The sequence below is a fragment of the Homo sapiens genome, chromosome 5 (genome assembly GCF_000001405.40).
Source record: "Homo sapiens chromosome 5, GRCh38.p14 Primary Assembly".
In the NCBI taxonomy this organism is placed as follows: Eukaryota; Metazoa; Chordata; class Mammalia; order Primates; family Hominidae; genus Homo; species Homo sapiens.
Genome location: NC_000005.10, coordinates 161676583 through 161704436, shown reverse-complemented (window position 1 = coordinate 161704436; position 27854 = coordinate 161676583). Strand labels below are relative to the sequence as shown.

Here is a 27854-nt window from a genome sequence, read left to right as displayed (position 1 = left end):
GAAAGGAATTTTATCTCTTTCATTGACTTGCTTTTTCTCTCGATGTTACCTTTCACCTTGTGACAACAGTTGGTTTCAGTCTCCAGTTTTTTTCATTCCCAGAACCAGCCTCATTGTGTCCTCCCAGAGTTAACAGTTTCAGCCAAGCAGCCCTTCTTCAAGAAGCTGAGCCCAAATATACAATTGTTCTCCTTCAGGCTCCTGAGATTTCAGCAGCCATGGACAAACCACAGAGATCTGAGACTTTGCTCTGATGAGCCCCTCCTCAGAGGGAATAGAATAAATAGAATCTTATGTGGTGTTTTCTAAATTGTTTTCTGGAAAATGCCACTCCCAGGATTTCCTCCGTGCAAAATGATACTTAGAGTTATATGAATTTGGGAAATGTTACAGTATTAGAGATTTATAGTGCACATAAGTATCATCATGGCTGTGAGAAGTCCAGCAGAAAAGACATTTGTCTCACCTTGACTCAACATCTCTCCTCCAGTTTTTTAACTAAGGAAACTGTTTTATTTTCACTTAACCACTATTACCATCCCATGACATACATTGAGAAACAGCATTCTCTGGAATCCTGAGAATTTGAAAGTTTTATAATTGTATAAAGTTTTGTTCTTGAAAGATCCCTTCGTAGGGGAGGAACATAAGGTCTATAATTATTTACTTGATTTTATCTATCTGTTCCAGCTCTAAGCATAAATGCTGACTGAGCGTAATGAGTGAGATGTAGAATGAATGTTGAGGAGGGGCACAGGTGATGTCAGAACCCCAGGACAATTATTACAAAAAGTGGCATACAAGTGAAACAATGCTAGAGAATAGAAGAAGGGATAAAAGAATAGGGTCATATCATATTAGATGAGGACATCTATAGGTATGGTTAAATGAAAAAGCTAGGGATTCACATCGCTTGGGTTTGATTATCAGCTATAGCACTTGAGTGCTCTTTGATTTTGAACAAAATTATTCATCTTCTTTGAGCCTTAGTTTCTTCATCTTTAAATGGAGATAATAGCAGTATATTCTTTACAGGTTTGTGAGGTAGATTAAATGAGACCTAGCATATAAGATGATTAACACCCACCTGACATTTAATTATTTAATATACCCTGTATAATTATACCAATTTTATTTAGACAGAAAATAATAATTATGAAACAAACGTACATGGTTCAAAATGAAAGGGTCTTTGAAGAGCATCTAATCAGCTCCCTCATTCTATAGATGAGAATAAAGCTGAGTCTCCCCAAAACAAAGATATTGGGCCAAGGAGCTAAATGATACAGAAGTTGCACAGAGACCTCAGTCTCCTCACACTTAGTAGAGTGCTGTTTCAATTAAACTTCAAGTTGTTTAGCTGTAGTATGTTTGCATTTTTCTGGGTAAAAATAAGACAGTAGTAGTATTCAAATTTTTTTTTCTGGGTTCTGGTCTCAAGGTGATCTCTATGATGTTTAAGACCCAGGAACATCTAATGAGGGGTTTGTCCATTTCAACAAATCACACCACATGCTTTCTCCTACTCTTAGTTCCTACTTCCCTATAAGAATTCTGTGTGGGAGAAATACTGTTAGAGTGAAGCATCAGGAAAGAACGGGAGTAATGGAAAGGGAGAAGAGTAGTCTTATTCATTTTTCATTGTTGATTGAGCAGGAATAGAGGAAAGATTAACTATTTGAATATAAATTCAAATCTTTTATCAGCACTAGGTAACTGAGCCTGGTTGTCCCATTTCTCCTACCTCTCACCAGGGGCAATAACATTGGGGTAGAGGTAACCACTTCACTTCTTCACACCTAAAGAAGGTTTCTCTCTAGTTGTATGAGACAGATCCAGAGAACCATGTTTATTGTTGTTTTATTTAGTGTTATAATTGGAAATGTGGAAAACACAAGAGATAACCATAGTCATAATATACAAGGCTTCCTTATAATGAGTACTTTTTTCTACAACCTCATAGAATTATGGTAAGTGTATTATTTTAAAAGGAGAATTTAGTAGGATAAAACACACTGAATTTTAGTCCAACTACAGCTATGTACATATGCATACATAATTTATGAGCTATGTATAATTTATATGTATACAAACACCACATTTTATTGAGGTAAAAGAGCACAGCGAGGTTAAAAACAAATGGCTAAGCTCAATGTAGGCTTTACAATGCCACTGAAAGCCATTTTACTAGCATAAAGGCCTCCAACATGCTGGTATTAACCTACTGATAAATATTTAGACTGTATTTATATTTTGCCCTCTCGGGAACTAAGCCAAAATAAACATATTTTAAGGCAACCTTTGGAAGTGTCAGCATTTCTTATTTTATCTGCCTTGTGGTAAATGTTATTTACAGTGACAATTAAAAATACTGAACAATGGAAGACAAAAGTTGACAAATTCATCTTGAACCCATTTCATCCTCATAAAGTTTTTCTCTAACATACAGAAAAGTCATATTTTTCAGCAATCTTCAACTTTCTATTTTGAGGAGTAGGATTATTGCTTTTTTGCCCACACATGCTTACGGAAGCTGCGTTACAGATTTCCAATTTGATTTCATGTTCTGAGAAGCATCTACACAAGTCTCAATGCTATTTTTTAAGAAAACATAGGAAACAGAAAACAAGAACTTATAGAATTCAGGTTGTCCTGGCCGCAAGCTATTCAACACTGCTACTGACTTCCATTGTATCTTTGGAAAGATAAACTACCCAGTACACAAGGTTGAATCCTGCAAATGCAACTGGGAAGAGAATTCGAGAATACTGGTCTATTTTACTGGTGCCTCCAAAGGCTGGCGAGAGTGGTGGGGGTGTGACAGGTGTTGATTGTAAGATGGGCGCTCTCGTGAGCACTTTATTGGCCTCGGAAGATGAAACTATTGGCAAAGACAGAGAAGTGATCCTTTTCTTCAGATGATATTTGGAGTCAGGATGCTGTGGAAAAAAGACAAATATTAAGCCCAAATGAAAGAATAGATATTGCTTAATTGCTTATTTATTCACTCTTTCACCATTGACAAATATTTATTGACGACTTACTTTCTATGTAAGGTCAAACATCAATGAATTCTTAATAGTATTTGTTGGTGTTACTTTTCCAAGTAAGGCTTAAAATACATTGTAAAATAATTTACTTGCTTCCATCTGACATTCTATTACTCAATACATCAGCAAACAACACAAAGCATGTTTCATGTCATAGAACTACGGTAAGCATTGTATCCTTAGGGAAAGACGAGCCAGGTTGCAGAGGCCTAGCCACTCCTGGTTGTGCATTAGTCTGTAGGGCAATGGGTTTGGGCAATAGTGTGTATTGGGAGGAGGGGTGAATTCCAATTTGGAATATGTGGACAATTAGTACAAAAAAATTACAGCCTGGTTTATTGACGCCATTCTTCTGTACACATTCCCAGCCTACATTCTCATCTTTGCACACTCATAAGCTTGAATCAGCTATGATTTAAGGATTTAAAAAATAAATAAAATTAGCCTATGTATGCCAAAGGCCAGTGACAAAGAATAAATATCCTTACATTGAGTAGGATGACTGTTCATACCTTGAAATATAGCTGCCTCTTAGCTCAGAATTTCTATATTGTACACTCCTTACTTCCCGCTCAGAACTTTCTAACTGGTCTTTCTCTATCTTCAGTCACTAAAAATGATTCATTTACTAAACTCAGACTTGTTATATGCTCCTTTCTATCTCTAAACCTCCTGTCTCACTGAAATCATGACACAATCAACTATAGTCTTGAATGGGATGTTTAACACAATCACTGGCAAGTGAGGCTAGGGTCCAGATAGGGGAAATGCCTTCTCCATGATGGCAGGGCTAGCAATAAACTCCAATGGTCAATTTCAGTGCCTGTTTCATTCCAACATTTTTCTCATCTTTATTCTAAAGTATTGGGCCTAGTTCAGAGACTCTGATTCTGTTTGATTTAGATTCCTTTCATGCCGTTGGTGTCTAGGGGGCCCTCCTCTGATTCCTATCTTTTCTTGTCTGCATCCTGTAACAAACACCCTCCTTGTGGCTAGCTTGTCTTTGCTGGGCCTCTGCCTTCAAACACTTGCTGTGCATTACCCCTGATATTGTAAAATGGCCTTGTTTCCTTGCTGGCAGCAAAATCACCACTTTGCTGCCTGGCAGGGTATGTGACCCACGTGGGCAAACTCCCGTGGCTTTAGCCAGCAACACTGCGGCAACAGTATAAGACAGCTTCCTCCCCTGTGCTGGTTGAGCCACAGGACCAAAATGACCTGCCGATGTGGTGACATTTGGACTAAAGGGACAACAACTCCCAAAACTTCTTTTCTATATTCTCCTCTTGATTTTGCTGTTTGATTTGCCATGAAACTTACTGGGTATCTAAATAATAATAGTTATTGCAGAGAGCTTAAATTCACTGTTTTTAGGGGCCATGGAGAAATGTGTTTCTTTACCAAAAGCAAAAACAAATGGTGTAGTCAAGATTTGATTTGAAAAAACCACAGTGAATTCCAAGCAAGGGCTATCTTTCTTATTATCTATTGGCCCAGTACTGTGGTACTCTGGACAGAATTAAATTAGTCATAGGTCTTAGAGGTAGAAGAGAGTTTAAGATATTAGAAGGGCTAGTATGCTGCTCTTGAAGAGGAGATGAGGGAAACTTTCTATTAAAAATAGATGGGCTGTGCATGGTGGCTGATGCTTGTAATCCCAGCTTTGGGAGGCGGAGGTGGGTGGATCACAACATCAGGAGTTCAAGACCAGCCTGGCCAACATGGTGAAACCCCGTCTCTATTAGAAATACAAAAATTAGCTGGTATGGTGGCCACTGCACTTCAGCCTGGGGACAGAGCAAGACTGCATTAAAAAAAAAAAAAAAAAAGATGACAGCTGAGGACTACTATGCCCAGGATCACCAGGCTGTGTGTGGATAGAAGCAGAGTAACTGTCTCAGTGCATGCTGCCTCTCCTAGAGAACACAGAACCATTTTCAAGAATTTTCTATCATGTTTCTCAGACTCTAAATTTTCACCTATTAAATATAGTATTAAAATATTCTCTACCTGAAAGAGCAAAAGGTGTCACTGTTTCACCCTCTAAAAAGAGCCATCCTCCTCCCACATATGGAACACTAAAATACTTTCCTCTAGCAAACATTTATGAGAATCATGATAGAGTAGAAAGAAGCCAGCCTTCAGAGCAGATTTTCTTTCTACACTCATTTTGACTTTTAACAGCATGCATTATCTGTCTGAAACATGTTTTTCTTTCTATTTTAGGTAGAAAGAGGGAAGACATGCCTAGTTGTTTGGAATAAAGCAGTGATTATAAAACATTAAATACCATAAAAATGTAAAGCCTTGCTTATTCTCCCCGTTTTTTAGAGATGTGGTGGGGGCAGTCATTTGTGAATCTGTGCATTGTCACAATGTCACAAAAGACTGAATGAGGATTCCCAAATAATTATGGTCCGGAAGTCAGAAGTACCATTCAGAACCAAACACCACAAAAAATTTGTAGTAAAATGGATACTGTAATTTTACCTAAATTAAAAAATTAAAATTAAATTATATTGAAATTAAAGATTTCCTACATTAGCATTCCCTTTTGCCTCATCTACTTCCCCAAACAATCTCTGTGGAGGGTTTTCTAGGAGTTAAGAGAACAAGGAGAGTTGGAAATCCCTAGATTACAGTTTCATAGCTACTAATTGCGTGCAATATAATTTAAACACCTCCTAGGTGCTATAGGCTCTAATTCTCTCTCAGCTTCAAGTTTCTGTGAAGGTAGGGACAAATATTACTTAACAAGTAACTTTTTTCCTATGTTTTTAAGAATTTAAGAAAAAGGCATGATTTAAAGATATATACACAAACATATATATGTGTATATATATACACATATACATATGTACATATTTTTTTGCTCAGGAATCTTAGCTATATCTATTTTTTAAATCATTTTCAAAATATGTCTGCTTCTCATTCTCACCACTCACCTATCTTTATTTCTTCTTTGTCTGAAATAACATCCACCTGCCACCCATTTTTATCTTTCCCTCATATCTTTTGCTACCAAACTCATTAACACCTACCATCACTGATTTCTCCAGCCTTATGCATTTTTCTGCCTAGTTATTATGACTCTTGTAGATATTCTTATTTTCTGTTTTGTAGGTATAATTATTTTTGTTGTGGCTTATCTCCTTTCCTAGCATGGAAACTCTTTAATGGTAGAAGGCACATTATTCATATGTATGAGCATTCCACAGTGCCTAGCAAGTATTTAAAACACAGTATTTCTTTAATAAACAAATGCCGAATCAACAAATGAAAAAAATCTAAACATTTCCCAAGATTTGTTGGAGGAAGTAGGCAAAGAGGGGGATGAAAAGTTTTATGATTATGTTACATTGTATTTTAATGCACTTTTATATTACATTATAAGTACCGGTTCTAAATGTTTATTGTTGACTAGCATTACAAGGCAATTTTCAAATATTATTTCACGAATTTCTTCAAAAAATCCACAATGTCATATTATCTTCATTTGATAGATGAGCAAACGTAGGCTTAAGCAGGAAGCTCACAAAGATAATGAGTGGCAGGACCTGAATTCAATTTCCCTCTGATGCCACAGACCGCGCTCTTAACAATTATTATGCTATTCTTCCTATCAGCTTTAGCGTTTTGGGCACAGTGTCTGAAGCTCAGAACTACTGATCTTTTGGGGCCAATCACTCTTTGTTATGGAGGACCATCCTCTGTGTCCTGGGATGTAGAGCAGCATCCCTGGCCTCTACCAACATGATACCATTAGCCACCTCCACCTCAAGTTGTATCTCCAGACATTGCCCAATGTCTCTTGGGGGAAATAGCTCCCCATAGGAAATCACTGGCTTAGAGTCACAAGTGTCCCACTGCCCGGGAGTGATTGGGGAAATTTCTACAGGCAGCAAATATGATAGGCTAAAGGAAATGCAAGAGGCCTGGCTACTCTACATCTGGATAATCAGCTGCTAAATAACTGGCAATTGACAGAACAAGGAGATTGGACATCAGTTTAGAAGGAACACGCTGAATTTCTGAAATGAAAAGAAAGCAAATTTTGTGAGCCGTTTAAGCTACAGGTTTGCTTCAGTCCCTTCCTGCTCTATTGTAAGCATAGCAGCTTCAGCTGATGGTAAAATAGGCTTTTGTCAGAGTCCAGATGAGGGCTCAGCTTGGGGCTGTCACTGTTTTGAGTGGAACGCCTGTGGTTTTGAATTTTTGCAGGGCTCCCCTGCTGCTGAGTGCCATCCTGCTTTAGGTATTTATAGAGCGCTGCTTTGTTTCAAGTAATGTCATATTGCAAAGGTACTTTAAGTCAAACTGGACTTTATGACAATCAACTATTTGATAGAGGGAAAAGATGTTTAGGAAGTATTTAGACAGATTTTTATATGTAATTCAATGAGTCTCAGTAGGTCTGAGAGGTAACCTATCACCCCCACCATTTAAAACGATATTCTAACCAGGGCTGCCTTACTGAAGGGATCAACCAAGCATTTGTTTTTAGAAAGAGCAAAGAGGGACAACACAGATGAGAGAAAATATTTTTTTGAAAACAGTATTGATAGTTTGCAAAAGTCATCATATTAATCGTTATGGGGAAAATTAGAACTCTGTTGGGTTTTCCTGTGTTTGTGTTTCAGCTGGTAGAGTTGAAAACAGACACAACTCCAGAATTTCTACAGACACACAGCTTATTGGCAGCAATATATTGAATAATTGATCCACGGTGCTAGGGAACATCTCTAGAAAACATATCAGAATGTTTGGAGAGTTCATAATAAAATATTGGGTGGGGATTTGATAGAAGGTATGGGGAAGGGGCTAACCACCTACAACCCTCGTCTAATCCATCCTGCCTTCCCCATAAATCATACAATGGCACAACCAAGAAGGGCACTGTGATCTTTCTGGCACATAGAGTCTTTAATGGTCTTAATTCAGTCCTTAATTGTAGGGAGGAATGACAGTACTCAAAAAAAATCAGCTCCAGCCTGGGCGACAGAGCAAGACTCCGTTTCAAAAAAAAAAAAAAAAATCTGTGCAATATTTGGAGTAGGCAAGGTAAACCTTTCAGTATTCTATTCTTCACATCTCTCTACATAGATGAAAGCAGCATGGTAATGGCCCAGTGCACCTTACCACCTTAAAAAGGAGCACAGGAAGGGTATATAACTTATTTCCCTCTCTATGCCCAAGTTTGTAGCAACTGGTTTAGAGTTTCTAGCACAGAGCCAGGCTAATTTCTTTTTTGTTCTTAGCTTAGACATCACTCTGCTAGAAACGAAAACCTCTCCAGACTGAGTTAGACACTTTTGCATGGCTCTTCTGCAGCTCACTATACATCTCTAATGACGGACTTTATTCCAAGGTATTATTAAGGCTCATTGATCTCTCTCACTTCCTGCTGGACAAGAAGCTCCATGAGGGAAGAGGCCCTCTGATATCACTCACTAATATATCCTCAGCACTCTACAAAAGGCCTGGCACATAAAGGCACTTATCAAATATATATGGTATGAATAATTCAACGAATGCATAAATAGTCAATAAATAGGTGCCAGATGGAAAGAAAAAAAAAGAAATGAATAAATAATGCAATCAACATAAATATAGTAATTGTCCTGACTAATGAAATTTTGGTTAATTTTATGTTATATAATTTACAAAAGGCATCACACCCATGTAAAGAAGAGAAGCTACATTGAGAGTAATGACACTGCTCAAAGGATTGCAGATGGAATGGGTGAGTGATTGACTGTCAGGAACATAGTGATAAGGGCTTAGGCCTTTAAAATAACAAGGAAACTAGCAAACTATGCAAAAACAAATCAAGGACCAAAGTTGGTCTTACACACAGTATAGGTACAGGTATACTCCAGACATGTTAATAGGCTCTGAAACTCATGAAGATATAAGTAACTCTCTAATATTAAGGTAGCATGCTAGATAAAAACAATAAGAAAAAATCACCATATAAGCGGGAAAAACACTGTTGACAATTTCTTTTCCAGAAATAAATAATAAAAAATAAAATATCCAATTCCATATGTCTTAAAAACAGAAAGATAATTAGTCTATAGAGCATTTCTGAAGATTTAGCTTTAAGGTGCCTTTTTGGGTTTGAGATCTAGATTTTAAATGCTTGAGTTTCTCCATTACTATCATGTTTTAAGGTCAGAATCAAAGTGATAAAATGAATAAATTTTTACCCACATTCACTGTAAGTAGTTTCTTGTGAAAAGCAATGAACATATTAAAATATACAACATAGAATCACATGAAATATCCAAGCACTTAATTTCATTTCAACTTCACCACATTAGTTTGCTGTTTCAATGTCAAACTTATTCAAATAATGTTGTTTTGATTACAACTGAATAGATATTTTTAAATGTCATGGTATTTGGGAGAAAATGTCTTGCAATCAAAATATACCATTGTGTAGTATAAATTGCAAATGTGTAATTTATGTTTGTTCCTCTATATCATATAAGACAACTTGCCAAGGTTTGACACGAACAAATGTAATGCAAATGTCCTATGTAATCACCTATATTTAGTTTTGATACCTTCAAGGTTTACATTGTTTGATTTGGTCATTGTTGTTTTTATGTTTATTTTTACACTTCAGCCTTTTAGAATCAAAATTTCCCTATGTGTTGCTTTAAAACATTTTAAGTAAAACCAGGTTCAGAAATATAATTTTTCACAAGAAAAAATAAATGCTACCTGCAGGAAAAAAGTACTTGGAGATAATTTACATACCATTTTTTAAAATCTAGCTTCCCAGAGGACCTACTCATTATATGTTACTATTTTAGGTTTATAGGAGACAGTTTATATCAAAACCTGAGATCTTAAATTCCATCTTAAATTAATAAATTATATCTTTAAAATAATAGCCTGAGGGGGTGATTACGTTTTCTCCAAGGATTTGAAATCATCCTCTTCTCAGTACTGCATATTTCAAAAAAGGTAAAGCAAAAAATTGGTCTTTGTTTTTATTTCAATATCTGATCTATGAGCATATTCAAAATGGATCCTTTTTTTTCTGTTTTTGACGATCTTTTTTTTTTTCACTCTTACTACTTTACTCAAATAAGAAACTGGTAAGCTGAATCCTGATAAGCACTTTTTTCATTTATAGACATATATTAATATATAGATGACCTATGGACAATATATAGATTATATACTTATATGCATACGGATACCTTGTAACAGAATCACTTATTTCTACTAATATGAAAAAATTCTCAGAAACATTTGGAATTTATCATGACAAAAAATGGTTTTAACATTGTGGAGCAAGTCTGCAGACTAGGATATTTTGTTACAAAATTTATATTTTGGTAACCTTTCAAACTACAGATACATAAAGAATATATTATTAAGTCAAAGGAAGAATTTTGGGACTCAACTACTTTCTTAAAATGTTTTATCCTGTGGTATGCACCCTGGCATATTTCAGTCTTTAGGGAATTCTTGGGAAGGGTGGCCTCAGTCTCTGTAATATTGTGGATTTCAAAGGTTCTTCTTCTTCTTCTGATTATTATTATTATTATTACAAAAACAGTATCTAAATGTGTCACCCAAGATGGAGTTCAGCGGTGTGATCATGGCTCACTGTAACTTCAAAATCCTGCATGCAAGCAATCTTCTTGCCTCAGTTCCCTGAATAGCTAGAACTGCAAGCATATGCCACCACCACAGAGCAATTTTTTTTTTTATTTTTGCAGATATGGGGGTCAGCCTGCTATGTTGCCCATTCTGATTTTTAACTCCTGGCTTCAAGTGATCCTCCCAACTCAGCCTCCCAAAATGCTGGGATGACAGGTGTGAGCCACTGCACTCGGCTTATACAAAGTTTTTGAATCAATTCCTAGATTTTCTACCAACTAGAAACTAATATTTTCCCTCTCCTAGACTGTGTTTTTCACTTATAAAAGAAGGTAATTAAACTGGATCACTGAATGGCATTTTTTTCTTTTTTCTTTATTTTTTTAAATAAGGGCTAATAAAAAATCCTTAAATTATATATTTCTACATATTATGGGGATGCCTCTCATTTCTTGGAGAAAATATAAATTCTCAAACAAGTTTCTTAGTTTATCAAAGACAAAATGTCAATAAGAAAATGATCACCTTTTCAGTCAACAAGTGCCACAGATTCTGAAAAGTAAAAAACAAATCGCTTTAAAACTTTTATCATAAAGTTAAACTGAGGATTACTGGGCTGCGTGTAGTTTTCAGATATGGAAATGCTTACTAGAATGGATCAGTTGTAAAAAAAATTTCAGTTCAAAGTGTCTGCCTTACTTGAATTCACAGAGCAAAACATTCCTCTTCTAACAGCTACTCTTTAAGATTTGTATTAAAATAAAAATTTATGACTGTCAATCAGTTTTATTATCCATTAAAATAAGTATGTTCAGCTTAATTGTTGTTATAATTTAATTTTATGCAAAATTGAAATCTGGGGGCATATTAATGGCCCTTGAAATATTAATGTTACCATTTGTTTCTTATTCAAAAACCTCTGGGGACCAGAACTTAGCCACAGCAAATTTAACAAAAATTTATAACTATTTCTCACTGAACGTAAGCCATTGACTATAAACTCATTGATATACATATATTTAATATACAAATGTGAATATGAAAATGTTTTAATATGAATCAAATTATTGGGTTATGACTCAACATTCAGAGAATCTATTATTCATTATTCACAGATGCCTTGCCCTCTTGAAATAAAGCAGCAAGCAGATTTATAACAAAAATTGTCCATTCCATAGAAGTCCTTGTGTCTTTCCTGCACTCTGAAACCTCATTAGAAAAAACATTTTGTTTTAACTTTTTTGCCCCTACTTGGTACAAGTGATTTTGTTCAAAAGAAACATCTAAAGGCTTAGAATTTTCTAGTCTCCTCTGAGAGCCTGGAATCTGCCAGTATAAGTGAGGATGATGAAAGAAGAATGCCCAAAGTTTACAGCAAAGATAAATGAAGGATTGTTCCATAGCTTTTCTCTGTGAAGTTGGAACAGAAACTGGCCTTGCTCTTGAAACTACAGTTATATAACCTGTGCTCAACTCACATTACTTTTGGACACTTTCGTTGTTTCTGATCACTATTTAGGCTGCTTTTTCCTACGGTAGGTAATGATAGAAAAAGTAAACAATTACCAAAACAATCTCAGCTTCCAAAGGTTCAGTAGCTTTTGATATTGTCACTGTGGGTGGGGCTGCAAACTGTGCCTTCCTTTTGGCCTTCTGTGTCTGAAGATTGGTAAAGTAGTTGACAGCTGCGAACTCGATAAGCGCAGAGAAGACGAATGCAAAGCAAACAGCTATGAACCAATCCATGGCAGTGGCATATGACACTTTTGGCAAAGAGTGCCGGGCACTGATGCTCAAAGTGGTCATAGTTAAAACAGTGGTGATCCCTAAAATAAAAAAGAATAGGAATTGTAATATTAGTACTGGGAATCCTATGGCAAAATCAAATGAGAATGTGTCAGAGGAGAAGACAAAAAACTCTACCAAGGCAAAGTCATTTTTAAAAATATTTTTTGTATTATAATTGTTCATAATTATTATCATAAGTATTATCATTTCTGAATCTTTCAATATTTAGTGAAGTGACATACATTATAACTGCTCAAAAAATTTTGAGTTTGCTGAATTGAACTAGTTATTGTAAAATTTAAGTCGTAAATAGTTCTAGTTGTTTAGGGCTTGAGAGAACTTGTAACAAATTATTACCACTTAAGAAAAAAAAACTTGAGGCCGGGCGCGGTGGTTCACGCCTGTAATCCCAGCAGTTTGGGAGGCCGAGGCGGGCGGATCACGAGGTCAGGAGATCGAGACCATTCTATCCTGGCTAACACGGTGAAACCCCGTCTCTACTAAAAATACAAAAAATTAGCCGGGCTTGGTGGCGGGCGCCTGTAGTCCCAGCTACTCCGGAGGCTGAGGCAGGAGAATGGCGTGAACCTGGGAGGCGGAGCCTGCAGTGAGCCGAGATCCCGCCACTGCACTCCAGCCTGTGCGACAGACGGACACTCCGTCTCAAAAAAAAAAAAAAAAAAAAAAAAAGGAAAGAAAAAGAAAAAAAACTTGAATTTCAGACCAATTTTACCAGCTAACATATTAAATGATAGTTAATAAATAAATATGGTATAAATATTAGCATAAAATTAGGTTACCTAATTTGTGTTTCTAGCTAGATTTTAAGGTATAATATTTACTCATTAGAAGATAAAATTTATCACTCACTTGCTGGCAGTTTTCCTTCTTGAACTATGGCCTGGGGAATTTATACTATTAGGAGATGTATAATATTGATGGTCAACATCATTATGTTGGCATTCTTTTGTAATTTTCAAAAAATCTATTTTAACTTAGTAAATTTAAAAAATCAAGATTTATGATTTCTATTCAATTCAGGTCTATCTTAGAGACTACTAAATTTATAAACATTAAACCCAGGAAAAACACTGGAATGTGTCACTGATGTTTCCAGTTGAAGCTCTTTTTCTTATTATTTAATTTTGTTTTATTAAAATTAGTAGTGATTCTATCTATAAGTGGAACTAAATATGTAGGTTGAATCATAAAAAATTGACGAAATGACAATTTTATATGGTTCAACCTAATAAAAGGGGTATACAACCTATGTATTACTGTGTTCAATACCTTAATCTTTTGCTTTCATGGATTTACATGCAGTTTTTAACTTTCTGCTTTTCCTCAGTTATGACAAAGAAAATCAAGATAAAGCACTGCAAATAGGACACATGAAAGTCATAGGAAACCAGCCATAATTCTCACTGAGACAAAATTTTTTTTGATTCATCACACAATTTGTGATATAATGACAGTGATTTTGCATGATACATATGTCTGGATGAGACAGGAACCTATTTTCTTTGTGGATTGAAAAAGTGCACCAGTGTAAATATTTACTCAAAATACACAAGCAATGAAAGGTGGAGGATGAATGTACGTGAAGTACAAAATGTGACATATACCAAAAACAGTTCTTGCTGGGACGGACTCCTTATTAATCCAGAAAGACACCTGGGAAAGAATGACTGTCATAATGCAAGGAGTGTATATCTGTATCATGAAGTAGCCCATCTTCCTTTGCAAGTGGAAGTAAACTGTCATTATAACGTATTCACCTGTTGGAAGACACATACATCAGTATTATTACTGCTGACAGTCTGCAAAAAGAATGCAGTTGAATATAAATCTTGACAACTTTTAAATTAACATTGACTGGAAGAAAACAAGCAAAGGTACATTTCAGTATATGAGAAAGCTACTTGATCAGCAGATGATAGAGCGAAGAGACACATCAACTTATTGTTTTCAGTAGGGTTCTTTATATCATATACATAAAAAAAACTACTTATTCCAAGATTACACAAATCTTTATATGCACCTGGTTGCAAAATCAGTTTTAAGGAAAGCTACTCATCACTGCAAAACAGCATGCTTAGCTGAGAATGGCTAAGGCGAAGGAAAAAGAAATAGATATTTTGAAAATGTGCACTGGAGTCATCCTGAGGGATTATTTCCATCCTTTGGTCAAATTCTTACCTGTGTTAGATTTAATTGTCTCACTAGATACTGTTTGTCCAATCAGATCATACTGGAGAAGGCTTGAAGATTCTTCTGGGACTTCTACTGAGTAAAGTGGTCCTTTTTTCCACGTATATATGATTTCACTTTTGGGATAAGCATCTAAATATTTGAAACAAATTAAATATAGCAGTGAATTTGACGAGTTGTCTTTTTTTCCTTCAAAGTGCACATTGTCTATAAAAAAGGAAATACAAACATAGATTGTATTTAATGTTTTCTTTAATCTTGGTGACTAAAGCCTCAATTTATGAGATTGACAGAATGATTAAGTATATTCCTAGAATCACACTGATAGTGTCATGATTCTATTTCTTCCTTGATTTCCAGTATCAACTAAAACCAAGTAATTATATATTTTGGATGTATTATTTGACTCTCAGAAGCCTGTTGTAACTTACAGCTCCCAAACTTGAGTGGACAAGCATGCCCATCCATAGGAAAGTTAACCAGCCTCATGGGACAGTCAGCATTGATGGTAAGCCTAGAAACATTGAAATCAACGGTTCTGAGTTAGTATTATGGACATATCATTTAGGCAGGGGAAATAGAATTGGAGAAACCTCACCTCATGGTGTATAAAATGGTTCCATTCTGCATTATTCTGAAGAGTTTATTAGGAGTTGTCATGTTGTGAGCAATGGACTTTTTACCATTTCTGAAAAAGGTGTCAGGCGTCCAGATTTTACTGACCATCAAATTATTCAGACTCAGAATCTCAGTTGGCCCCCCAAACTTCAACCTCTCATCAGTCCAGGTCTGGCGGAAAAAAACATCCATCGTATACTCCTAAGAGAAAATAAAATATTTGTGTGGGCTGGAAAGATAGTTTGCTAAGAATAGTTTATTCACTAGCCTATACACCCAATCTCAAAACTTAAGCAATAAAGCAACTTTTTATCGCAATAATTTCTCACAAAGCTATAATTTTAGCTAGTTATTATTGTTCTCAAACTCAGAAAGTTTGCATTGTTATAAAAGATAGTGCTGTGATATGTAAACTTCCCTCCTCCACCTTGACTTTCCTTAATATTCTTCCTCTTTATCTATCCAGTCATCCATATTTCCATCTATCAATATGTCCTTCTTAATCTAGAAAAAAAATATGGAAATATTTAGTTTAGCCTTTGTGCTGGCTGGCCTTTATACCATCGGTTAGACTAACTATTCCCCTTTGCACCTCATTCACCCTCAAAGGTATTTCAGAGCTTCAGAGTACCATTCAGTAAAATTCCACACATAGATAAACCTTACTTGATAAACACACTATAGCTGCACATCAAAATTATTTTATATTGTTCTCAGGGAACATATAAACAAGTGTTACCGTGACTATTCTAAAGAGGGTATCATTTAAGTATGTATCATCAAAATTATGACTTAATCTGTGGCTTTTATGAAATAGCATTAAAATGTTTAAGAATTATAATAAGAGCTATTGCAAAAGTCAATAACAAATAACAACTTGTAATTATATCAAAGTATTGCCAATAATTGCTTTGCCTACTATATAAATTCCTTTATGAAACGTATTATGGCAAGCAGTGATTACATTTTAAAAATATAATTTGACAAGCAATATATCCATACAATAATGACTCATGATATAATAGGGACCTATTGCACAAATAAACTGTAAAAACAGACACAAGCATAAGATAGAACACTAAGTATACTCAGACTTCAACAATTCAATAGCAAATTGTTGTAGTTGTTTATACTTGGAGTGGCTTAGAACACGAATGAAAAATATGATACTAAAATAATTCAGGATTCTGAATATTGCTAACTCCTCTTTCTCCTTATATAGTAAGATAATTATCTCTTGAATAAAGCCCTTCCTCCCTCTTTCCTTTTCTTTCAATTTTATTTCTTCTTTCTTTTCCTCCATATCCCTTTCTCTTCTTCCTTTACTCCTTCCTTTTTCCTTTCTTTACATCTTCTTTTCTTGCCAACTTAAAAAAGCAGAAAATGAAAAAGTCTCCAATAACTGTTTCTTTAGAATTACATTTCCTTAATAAAATCTAATGGTGAACCTCTTTAAAGACAGTTATGTTTACTTCAGCATTCATATTTACACTTCCGTTTTAGAGAGAAATGCCACCTGAGAACCGTAAAAGAATACCATGATACACTTTGTTCTAAAAGATGAGTTCAAGTTTTCATTGCTACTTACTATAAATACCCTCTTATGAATGCTACAGCCATCTGTACCTGGAACAGAGTCCCCAGAACACCTACTGGTCCATCCTCAATGTAAAAGGTGGAGAGCATCAGCCTTTCCAAATGACCTCTTTACTGTTTTAATAAAATATACTGATAATGATGTTGCCACAAAAGACAATTATGCTTTAGGTTTTATAGACATACTCAATAAACTTTTATATGGAATAAGATCTGTGTGTTTTTTTTCTTCCTCCAATAAATTTGCTGGAGCTTCACAAAGAAAGGGGAAAATCTCTTCTCTTTGGAGGGAAGAATTAGTGCATAGCATGTGGATGGAAGAGAGGACATAATTTTAAAAAGTCCCTCAGCTTAAAATGTTCAAGCCCTTAGTGAAATGTGAAGATTAAGCCAGGAATCCATTCTAATGGTCATGCCCTCCCAGCATGAATACAAATATTGTGTCATGAATCTGGAGCCAAGCTTGGCGGCAATGCCCATTATCATTAGTTTTGGGACTCCACTCTCCTCCCCGAAATGAAAACACCCAACTCACTTAGAACTTACTCACCATCTCCACATCTGACACGGGCCCAAAACTGGTCACATAAATGTCTGTTTTGACTTCAGTGACAGCACCTGAAATTAGCCCAGAGGGATGAAACAATTATCACCACTGATGTTAAGGGGATTGATCTCAGCCCTCTACCACCAAACCCCTTACTTATCATAGCCAGTATCTGCAATGTGTCCTATTGCATTCCAGTAGTGGGGATCCTTGGGTCTCTCAACTCTGAAAACTCATGTCAGTGGCCTTATTTAGAATTTATTCTAGTCAATTGGGAGAACATTAAAGAATGAAAGAAGCTAGATTCGTTCTAACGAAAATGATAATAACTAATGTATATTGATGGCTTTAATGGGAAAGTGCTAATAAAACTGTTTTACATGAATAATCTCATTTTGCACTCATACCACTCTATGAGGCAAACATTGATCATATACCCACACTACAATTTAGGAAATGAGGCTTAGAGAGTTCAGATAACTTGAACAAGGCTACTAATGGTGGATGAGGCAGAGACTGGATGGGAACATACCCATGGTCTCTCTCCCGTACCCTGCCCCTTCCCACTACCTAGTTTCTGACTCTTCTGGGTCTTCAAAGGGCAGAAACGGAGGAAGGAAACTACAGGTGTTTGTGTAGCAAAGATGCAGCTTCTTACCTCCAAATCCCGGCCGCAGCCGATTGTCATAGCCTTCAAGCAAGTTGTCCAGGATCCGACTGACGTTTTCTGAGTAGAAGTTGCCTTCAACTTCGAGTTTCCCTAGGGCATTTTCTAGCCTGTGTGTAGACAGTCAATGATCCTTACTCCCAGGCTCAGAGAAGAGGTTTTGTCTAATCTACTCTATTCCACCCTGTTACAAATACATGCAACACCACTTCTGGCCTCTTTCATGATTTGATATAGGAGTCACCCAATGGATGTATACTTTTCCTTTCCTCTGAGATAAAAAGAAAAATCAGGAAAAAGGATCTTACTCACCACAGAATAATGCACAGCCAGGGCAGAGACGACGCCATCCTGCAGTGCACTGAAATGCAGAATTCACCCTCCTAGGGTCGTCCTCCCTGCTAGCCAGCTCTTCTCTGCCAATCAACTGGAGAAATCTTTCAAACCCTTCATATCTCTGTTCCTTGTTTGCCTCAAGTCAGTAATCCAATAGATAAAGAGGTTGCCTAAAAATTTGCAGGATTCCCCTGGCTCCCTTCTTTCTTGTTTCCTTCTCACGTGGAACAAGGTGGTTTGTGGTCTTAGATTATGTCCTGCAGACACCCAGGCTCCTCTGACTGACTCAGTTGGGAAAGGAGAGTCTGAAGGGACAGTGCATGGTCGGAGAGCAGTGACAATAATCGAATAAGGCATTAAGGGAGATTAGAAGGAAGAAATCCACTGCCAGTTTTGGCATGGAATTAGCAGGGCCCTGTGAGGAAATCTGGAAAGCATTGGCATCTTGCTGATTGAGATTATGTTCCAATAGGCTCAGCGTTTATTATTTTTATGGTTCACAGAAGGATTCCTACACAGCTCTTACTGTTTAAAAAGTCTAACACTATTGTGACCCTCTTGGATTCCCTTTCTGATTTTCATCAGCATTACTAGCTACAGCCACACCCTTATGTATTTAAAGATTATTGCTCATGATTTATTTACCAGCACTTGTAACACAACAGAACAACTCACGGCCATCTTGCTGTGGATTAAATATTTTTTTAAAGATACTTTGCTGACCCTTCTTGTCAAAGGTGTGTCATCTTAAGCTAAGACAGAAGTGGGATCTACTGCTATCATTAGAGACCTGGTCAGTTTCTTGAATGCCACCTATAGGAGACAATGCCTGAGAAATAGCAGGTTAAGGCTCCTCATGCAGAAATGTTGCAAAAATAAAGCATCTATAGACGTGGTTAATGTTGATGATTCTGGCACTATTTTCTCAGGCTTGCCACAGGTTGAAAGGAAAATGTCTGAATCCAAGAAACAGCATTCTATTCTCAGTTCTGCTAGGAGGAAGTTGTAGTCAAAAAAAGTTCATTTAAGCCTTAAACTTTTAATCTTTTCTTTAAATAAAAATTTATTAAATAAAAAATTTATTAAATAAAAAAATTTTAAAAGGCATTGTGAATAGATATGTGTGTGTATATCTATTATATAGAATATATATTATATAGAATATATTTATATAATATAATATAATATATATATTATAAAAATATATATAATATAAAATATTATATTTTATAATATATATTATACACACACACACATACACACAGATATTTAAATTCAGGAACATAAGATTGAGGATCAAAAGTCTCAATTCACCATCCTCCTGCCAAATTCATTCCTTACTCACCCAGTTCACAGTCTGTACCTTTGGAATTCAAATTCTACAAAGGCCATGGTAACTATTGCAGACATCTAGCACAGCCGTAACAGTCACACTTGAGAACATGACATAAATCATTTGAGGAACGTTTGAATACATTATTGTCAGGGAAAGACACATGGCAGCCAATTAAATGAAGATACCTACAATGTTTTCTCTAATTTAAGGGAAACACCCCTAAAACCTTTTCGTGTTTGTTATGGGATCCAATTTTCACATCTCTACTCATTCTTTTTATTCTCCTTTAAACCTCCTACCACTGGTGATCACAATGTATTTTCAACTCACATTAAGTGTGCTATTACTTAAATCCCCTAAATATCTGGTATATATGATGCTATGAAATAATTCTCTTCAGATTAATCACAACTTTTTTTCAACCAGAGAACCCTATATTTATCCCTGTTATCTTTTTTAGATCTGTGTTTCTTTTTTTTTCCTATCGAAATGTTTACCACTCATCTCTGATTTGTGTCATCAGAGAGAAAGCTTTGTGAGGGTTTTCAGACCGAATGTTTTTGTTTTTTCTTTTTTAAATTTAATTTAATTTAAAGTTCCAGGATACATGTGCAGAATGTGCAGGTTTGTTACATAGGTAAACGTGTGCCATTGTGTTGTGCTGCACCTATCAACCCATCACCTAGTATTAAGCCCTGCATGCATTAACTACTTAACTTGATGCTCTCCCTTTCCCCACATCCCCAACAGGCCACAGCATGTGTTGTTTTTCCTCTTCCTGTGTTCATGTGTTCTCATTGTTCACCTCCCACTTATGAGAACATGTGGTGTTTTGTTTTGTTTCCTGTTCTTGTGTTATTTTGCTGAGGATAATGGCTTCCAGCTCCATCCATGTCCCTGCAAAGACATGATCCCATTCCTTTATATGGCTGCATAGTACTCCATGGTGTATATGTACCACATTTTCTTTATCCAGTCTATCATTGGTGGACATTTGGGTTGATTCCATGTCTTTGTTATTGTGAATAGTGCTGCAATGAACATACACATGTCTGTATCTTTATAATAGAATGATTTTTATTCTTTTATACCCAGTAATGGGATTGCTGGGCCAAATGGTATTTCTGGTTCTAAGTCTTTGAGGAGTTGTCACGCTATCTTGGTTGAACTAATGTACATTCTCATCAACAGTGAAGAAAGTTCCTATTTCTCCACAGCCTCGCCAGCATCTGTTGTTTCTTGAATTTTTAATAATCGTCATTCTGACTGGTGTGAGATGGTATCTCATTGTTTTGATTTGCATTTCTCTAATGATCAGCGATGTTGAACTTTTTTTCATGTTTGTTGGCTGCATAAATGTCTTCTTTTGAGAAACGTCCGTTCATTTCCTTTACCCAATTTTTAATATTTTTTTCCTGTAAATTTGTTTAAGTTCCAGGTAGATTTCGATATTAGACCTTTGTCATATGGATAGATTGCAAAAGTTGTCTCCCATTCTGCAGATTGTCAGAAATTTTTTCACATGTAAAAAAAATCGTGGATGATATTGTACAGTTTTACAAATATTCCTATAGAATTTCTCATTAAAATGATTTTTTCAACAAGAAACACTTAATAAATTACAGTTGTCTCTAAACAAAAGATTAACACACTTGATTTTATTTTTTCATAGGTTTTAATTAATAAGAAATTAATGTAAGAGAAGGAAGACTTTTTTTACTCTCAATAGGAAAAAATATTAGTAGAGCTAGAAGGGATAATGAGCTATGTAATCTTAGTCATTTTCCCTCTGCTGAGCTTACCTTTAAAAGAATGTGATAGACCTAGCAATATCTAAGATACTCAAGTTCTGTAATCTGAGAATTTGTATGTAATGAAGTCCCTTGTTCACACATCTCTGTCAGAATTCGGGCAGACAAGATCTATTAGCAACACTGTTAATTAGATTGCAATTATTATTCTCCTGTGGAATTAGCAAAAAAAAAAAAAAGAGTTTAAGAATTCGACAATGGCTACGACTTTGGGAGATGTATGGTCATATTTATGTAGCGTTTTGACTACGTAAACCAGTTATCAGAGCTCTCTCATTTAGAGAATTACTTCCGTTTGGCAAATTTGAGAATATCTATCTTATACCTGCATATTTCATAGCTGTTTCTCCAAAATATTTTCTCTTTTATGAATCACCTTAGACAAGCACTTGCATGCTCTGTTATTTATCTCCACTGGGAAGCCTAGAACTACCATCATCTTCAACGATAGTGCTATTAACATGCTGGATTTTGTAAAAGAATAATGTGAAATCATTCCTTTTGTGTCCTGTACTTTAATTCCATATACCACTCACACTAACACTGCTTTGTTTATATAAAATGACTTATTAAAGATGTAGTGTTAATTAGAGAAAATTATTGCACAGAAAGAGCAAACTTGGCACCAGACACTAAATGGCACTTTTTATAATACAAAAAATCAATATGTCTATGTATGCATATATAAACAAACCAAATATTCAAGTTAGCTACAGAATTGCCTCTTGGATAACATTTACTTGCACTTTCTCCCTAAAAATCTCCATTGATCTTTTCAAAAACAGCATTGGAAGTGTGCTTTCTACAGAAATTGTGTTCCTCCACAAGTGGGGGATTATATACCCTGGCAGCCATTGTGTAGAGGCCAGGAATGCTGTTATCCTACAATGCATAGGACAGTCCCCTCAAAAAATAATTATCTTGCCAAAACACATCAGTAGTACCAATGCTGAGAAAACTTGCTCTAGAATAAAACCACTCAAACTTTAGTAAAATGTTCCTCGATGAATGATTTAGCCTCTCAAGTCCACTCATTTCACAGTATTTCCACAGCATAGTGTTCTTGTAAGTATTTCCCCCTTATGATATATTGAGGGTAGCTACTTGTCCAAACATACAAACATACCTATGTTTCTGAGACAAATAAGGATGTTAAATGAGCACACTATTAAGGGAGTTAAAGCAAGCAACACAAATATAAAGATTAGATTTGCAAATTTACAAAAGGATTGCTATGTAAATATACAATAAGTAAAAAGCAGGCCAATAACTTCAATGGATATATGGATATATATAAGTTTACAATTCACAATGAAAATAGTCAAGAAACATAAAAGGTGGTCTCTTGATTAAGAGAAATCAATTCAATTCAAATGAAACAAAAATTTTGTAAATTTATCTCATGGTCATAAATTATTAAGAATTCTTACAGACTGATATTCAGTGAAGTGTTTTCAATGGGATATGCTATTTATATTTGAAGAAGGGCAATTCCTCACTAGGCGAGACAGTCCCACACATTTCAGCATACTTAGGATCTCTTGCTCTTACTCACGGAGTGTCTCTAGTGTTCTCTATGCGTGCTAACAACCAAATATTCTCTTCATATTTTAAAATGCTTTATAGTGGGGAGTTATTTTTCCCAGTTGAGAACATTATGAGTGCAACATGCAATAATTTGACTAGAGTTCATAATTAAAACTAAAATGTGCTAAAGGCTCTGCAGGCTAAGTTCAAAGAAGTACCTGCTATTTGGATCAGCCATCTTTCTGCATCCAAAAACTTAGATTAGTTTACAGTAGATTAGCAGAACTAATCTCATTAAACTATTCCCTCCCAAATTAAGTACATAACTGGGGAGAAGAAAAAGGACATAGATATTTGGGAAAAACCATTGGATTAAAGTTTTCTATCACCTTCTGTAGGAAGAGCCAGTCTCCTCTCTGACAAGTAAAAGAGATGATAAAATGGTAAGTTATTCACTCCTAAAAACTGAAAATCTCTAGAAGAAGAACCTACTGACATCTTCTTTCTTGGCAACACACTTGCTCTGAGAAAAGCAGAAGGCCCACACAGAGGCCCCAGAGAGAGACACAAGGTAGTTTGGTATTGTTCTCCTGAGGCATAGGTATACATATATAAACACATAGACTGGTCTACCTTCCAATCTATATACCAGAGGACTCCCAAAATAGCAAATTTTAGTGGGGCTTGAACACAGTGTGATGTACTATGATTAAGAAAAGAGGGAAGTAACCCTCTCCATTCCAGTTCCTGGAAGAATTGCAAGAGTGCACAAGTGGATTCTAGTGACTCACATGGCTTTGTATGAAGGAACATAAAGGCAGGTGGAAGGGCAGAAACATTGATCACTCCATGTAGCCATCTGACCATGCAAGAAGAGGCCTACCTCCAAAAAAGGTTTTGAGGACATATAGCAATTGGAAGCTGTATTGTTTGTCCAACCTGTCACAGAAGGGGTTACAGCAAGGCTGAACAGCAATTTCTTCTCTCCTTCAAATGCAATTTTCTTGAGCAGGCTCCTCCTTTATTCTAGCATTATTAAATGGCATCTAAATCTGCACAATGAAGGATGTATTCCAATAATCTTTGCATTAGCTACAGGAACAAATCTCACCAGTTATGTGCTGTACATCCTGCATTTTGTAATTTGCTCCTCTTTAAACATATGTGGCTTAAAAATAATCCCCAAATACTCTAAAGCCTATTTGGAGATTGGTAGAAAGAAGAATATTAATGATATTGAGCCAAAAAGGTAAGCAGAAAAGGGATTTTTAACATAATTTCCAGAAGTCCTAAGAGTAAATTGGATTTAAAAGTTTCTTTTGAGATATTTGTCATAGGTGAAATTATTGGTAACATGTAAGTTTGATACTACATAAACATATGATATAATTTGCTTTCATTGTGTAGCATATTCAGGTGCATAAATCATTTATAAGTACAATATATCACTTTTATCTCCCTCTCCAAACAAGTTAAGCAGAATGGTGTTATTATTCTCATTACTTGGGTACATATAAGACCTGGAGAGGTCAAATAATGTCTCCATGATTGCAAAGCTGTTAAAGGGTAGAGCTGAACACAAATCTGTAGATTCATATTCAAATAATTCTTAAGTAAGCCAGATAAACCAATATGCCAGGCTCTTGTTGCCACGAAGTTGATTTTGACTAAAATAGTTTTCAGTCATCTTGTAATGACAGGGGAGAATGAAACTGAGCTTCAAAAACAGAAGCCCTTGCTTTGTCTACTAATAACTCAAATTACTTCTCTCTGAGTATTAGTTTTCTCAACAGTATGAGAGTCTGGAACCAAAGAATTTCAGTATTTGTGTAACTACTTCCCATTCAGTACCAGAATACTTGGAACTTTTTCCTTAACTGTCTTAGAACCTGTAATGAAGATCAAATCAGTCAAAAAACAATAAATAAAATTTAGGGCTGTATATGGAGAAATTAATGTAACAATAATAGCAAATGTTTAACATTAACTGTGTATCAAGAATTATGTTAATAAATCTACAGACTCTAACTCATTCATTGCTAACACAAATGTCTATGAGTTGCCTATAATTGTGCCAATTTGATAGATCAGCAGGATATGTAACTTGCACAATCTCGCATTGCTAACAAGTGGCAGAATCAAGATTTAAAACTAGATTATTCTAACTCAAAAGCAGCTAGGTAGAAACCAAGGCCAATGGCCAGAAGTCAGTGAAAAGTAAGTTTCAGTTCTATTAAAGGAAAAAGTTCTGACTGTCATTATCTATTGAAGGGGTGGAATGGGCTATCATAGGAAAAAATGAGTTTCCCATTAACAACAGTATTCAAATATAGTATGGAATACGGTCTGTATGGGGATTTTTTTTTTTTTTTTGACAGTCTCGCTCTGTCACCAGGCTGGAGTGCAGTGGCGTGATCTTGGCTCACTGCAACCTCCACCTGCCGGATTCAAGTGATTCTCCTGCCTCAGCCTCCTGAGTAGCTGGGACTACAGGCACGCGCCACCATGCCCGGCTAATTTTTGTATTTTTAGTAGAGGTGGGGTTTCTCCATGTTGGCCAGGATGGTCTCAATCTCTTGACCTCATGATCCGCCCACCTCAGCCTCCCAAAGTGCTAGGATTATAGACTTGAGCTACCATGCCTGGCTGGGGATGTATGTTTTCTGAGGAAATTACATGGTCCCCATGAACATTCAGCAGGACACTGAGGCTACTTGTGGGTATTCTAAAGAAGATCTGATTGATAGACATCTCAAGTCAATATTTGGAGTAATGAAAACTCTACCACAGAGTTTCTTTGGAGTGACATGAGAAAGGAAATTTAAAGATATCCCTGGTGGTACAATGTACTGTTAAGGAGAAAAAAAGGAGAGGGCTTACGGAGTTATACTAAAAGAGGGAGCAAAAGTAAAGGATTATATAATAACATTTATTGAACACAACATATTTCAAGCATATGCAATGATACTGTCTCTAATCTGTGCAACTACTTTACAAAATAGCCTTTTTATGTTCATTTTACAAAAGAGGAGAATGAGACTCACAAAAATATGTTATTACCTGAGGACTCAGAGCTATTATTACCTCTGATGCCAAAATACACTCTTTTATACATTGTGCTTTGTGCATTATATCAGATCTGATCCTTTCTCTAAAGTTAGGGCTCTTAAACTCTCTGGACCAATAATAGTTTTTATATTGTTGTTAAATAATACCCACCATCTCAGTGGACACTGTGACTAAATCCCCATGTGATCCCTTTGGAGGATCCGGTGCAATAAGGACCTAATTGCTCTGGGAAGCAAAGGACAATAAAGCGACACTTCTCTGGACTGCAGCTTTAAATTGTTTTGGCTTGGTTAGGAGTAGAAAGTTGAGTACATGAGAGGGCATTCTGGGACCCCCAAAAAATATAGGCAGGGAATAGCTGTTTCAATCTTCAAAACACAAATACCAAAGAACCAAAAAGACACTTCTTAAAGAGCACATGTATATGAATGTATGATTTATATTTGCTCAACTGGTATTCATTCAATTTAACTTTTATTTATCAAGTGGTTTTTTATATTTTGAGAAAGATCACCTTCAGAAAGCTCACATTCTAGGTATCCCTATGCAACATAATAGTACTGGCAAGATGTCAGGTGCTAAAAAGTAGAATTGTTAGCCATGTGCTATGGAGACACTGAATGAGGAGGCACCAATGGTAAAGAATGGGATCAGGGATTATTTCATCAAAGAAATGATATTTGGGCTAAAATTCTGAGATTGAATAAACTGTTAGCAGATTAGAAAAGACCATTTCAGGCTGCATTATGAGCTCAGAGGTGACACAATGCATGTTGTGTTTGTAAACAACAAACCAAGAAAATAGAGGAAGCAAAGAGAAATGCAATAGATGAAAAGACTGGAAGAGAAGACGGAGTCCTATAGAGGAGCATGCTCCTCACTGGAGGATTTGAGAAAAGGCATGGACTTCTATAGCAGACCAGAACATGACTGCCTAAACAATTTTTAACAGCATTGTTTCTCTGAGAATTGCCCTCAGGAATAAAATCAGGGAGGCTGTTAGAAATTCAGGCATGAAATAGGGCCTTGCAATGTTTGTGCTACAGGCTTAACCATGTATTGATTAGAGGCCTTTGGAATCAGGAAACTTGAAGTCACCAGCAGGCAAGTTACTTATGAAAATTATTTGCTATCTCTAGGCATCATTGTCCTTACCTATGAAATGGGGTAATCGGTTCATGACAAGGATGAAATGAAATGTGCATGGAAGTAATTATCATGGGGCACATCCATAGTAAACAATAAATAAAAATATCTATCAACATCATCACCACCATCATCACCATAATCATCATTGTCATCATCATTTTTGGCCATGTCAAACCTTTTCTCTCCAGCATTTAGAAATGGGATTGAGAAATTAGCGTTTGCTCAGTGTCATTTCCTAAGGCTGTCGGTTTTGGGGGCAGGCATGTTTGGCTGAGTTAATGCAACAACAGAGACAGAAAGAAACCGAACTGCAGCAGCCCCATGGAAGGAGGCATAGGCAAGAGTCACTGCAACCCCAAAATCTGAGAGAGCAGCTGTCTGGATCTCTGACAGCCTCCCTGATTTTATTCCTTCATAATCTAGGTGTCATTTCTGCCTTTGGTTTCCCCCAAGAAAGGGTTGTGTCTTTATTATAAATTCCTCTTTTTTCTTCAAGGCAACTTAAATGTTTTCTATCACTGGGTTCTCA

At 36.0% G+C, this 27854-nt stretch overlaps 1 protein-coding gene and 1 long non-coding RNA gene across 2 annotated transcripts; one reads left to right on the top strand and one right to left on the bottom strand.

Annotated features, from left to right (window-relative positions):
- Window positions 1-1844: 1844 nt before the first annotated feature.
- On the bottom strand, window positions 1845-18716 carry GABRA6 (gamma-aminobutyric acid type A receptor subunit alpha6). Its single transcript, NM_000811.3, has 9 exons — window positions 18410-18716; window positions 18089-18207; window positions 17434-17501; window positions 15268-15488; window positions 15101-15183; window positions 14658-14801; window positions 14084-14236; window positions 12237-12496; window positions 1845-2939 (listed from the first exon to the last, which is right to left on the bottom strand). The coding sequence occupies exons 1-9, from the start codon at window positions 18445-18447 to the stop codon at window positions 2664-2666; spliced, it is 1362 nt and encodes a 453-aa protein (NP_000802.2). The 5' UTR covers window positions 18448-18716; the 3' UTR covers window positions 1845-2663.
- Window positions 15027-17095, top strand: GABRA6-AS1 (GABRA6 antisense RNA 1). Its single transcript, NR_189170.1, has 2 exons — window positions 15027-15177; window positions 16791-17095. It is a non-coding gene; the product is annotated as a GABRA6 antisense RNA 1 (long non-coding RNA).
- Window positions 18717-27854: the final 9138 nt, after the last annotated feature.

What these genes read in the sequence shown, in the direction of transcription:
- GABRA6 (NM_000811.3), bottom strand. Translation starts at nt 18,447, where the DNA reads ATGGCGTCGTCTCTGCCCTGGCTGTGCATTATTCTGTG. An exon ending in ACCATTTTATACACCATGAG is followed by an intron (nt 15,184 to 15,267) that starts GTGAGGTTTCTC and finishes CAATGTTTCTAG; the next exon opens with GCTTACCATCAATGCTGACT. An exon ending in CCCAGCAAGAACTGTTTTTG is followed by an intron (nt 12,497 to 14,083) that starts GTATATGTCACA and finishes TTTTTATTTTAG; the next exon opens with GGATCACCACTGTTTTAACT.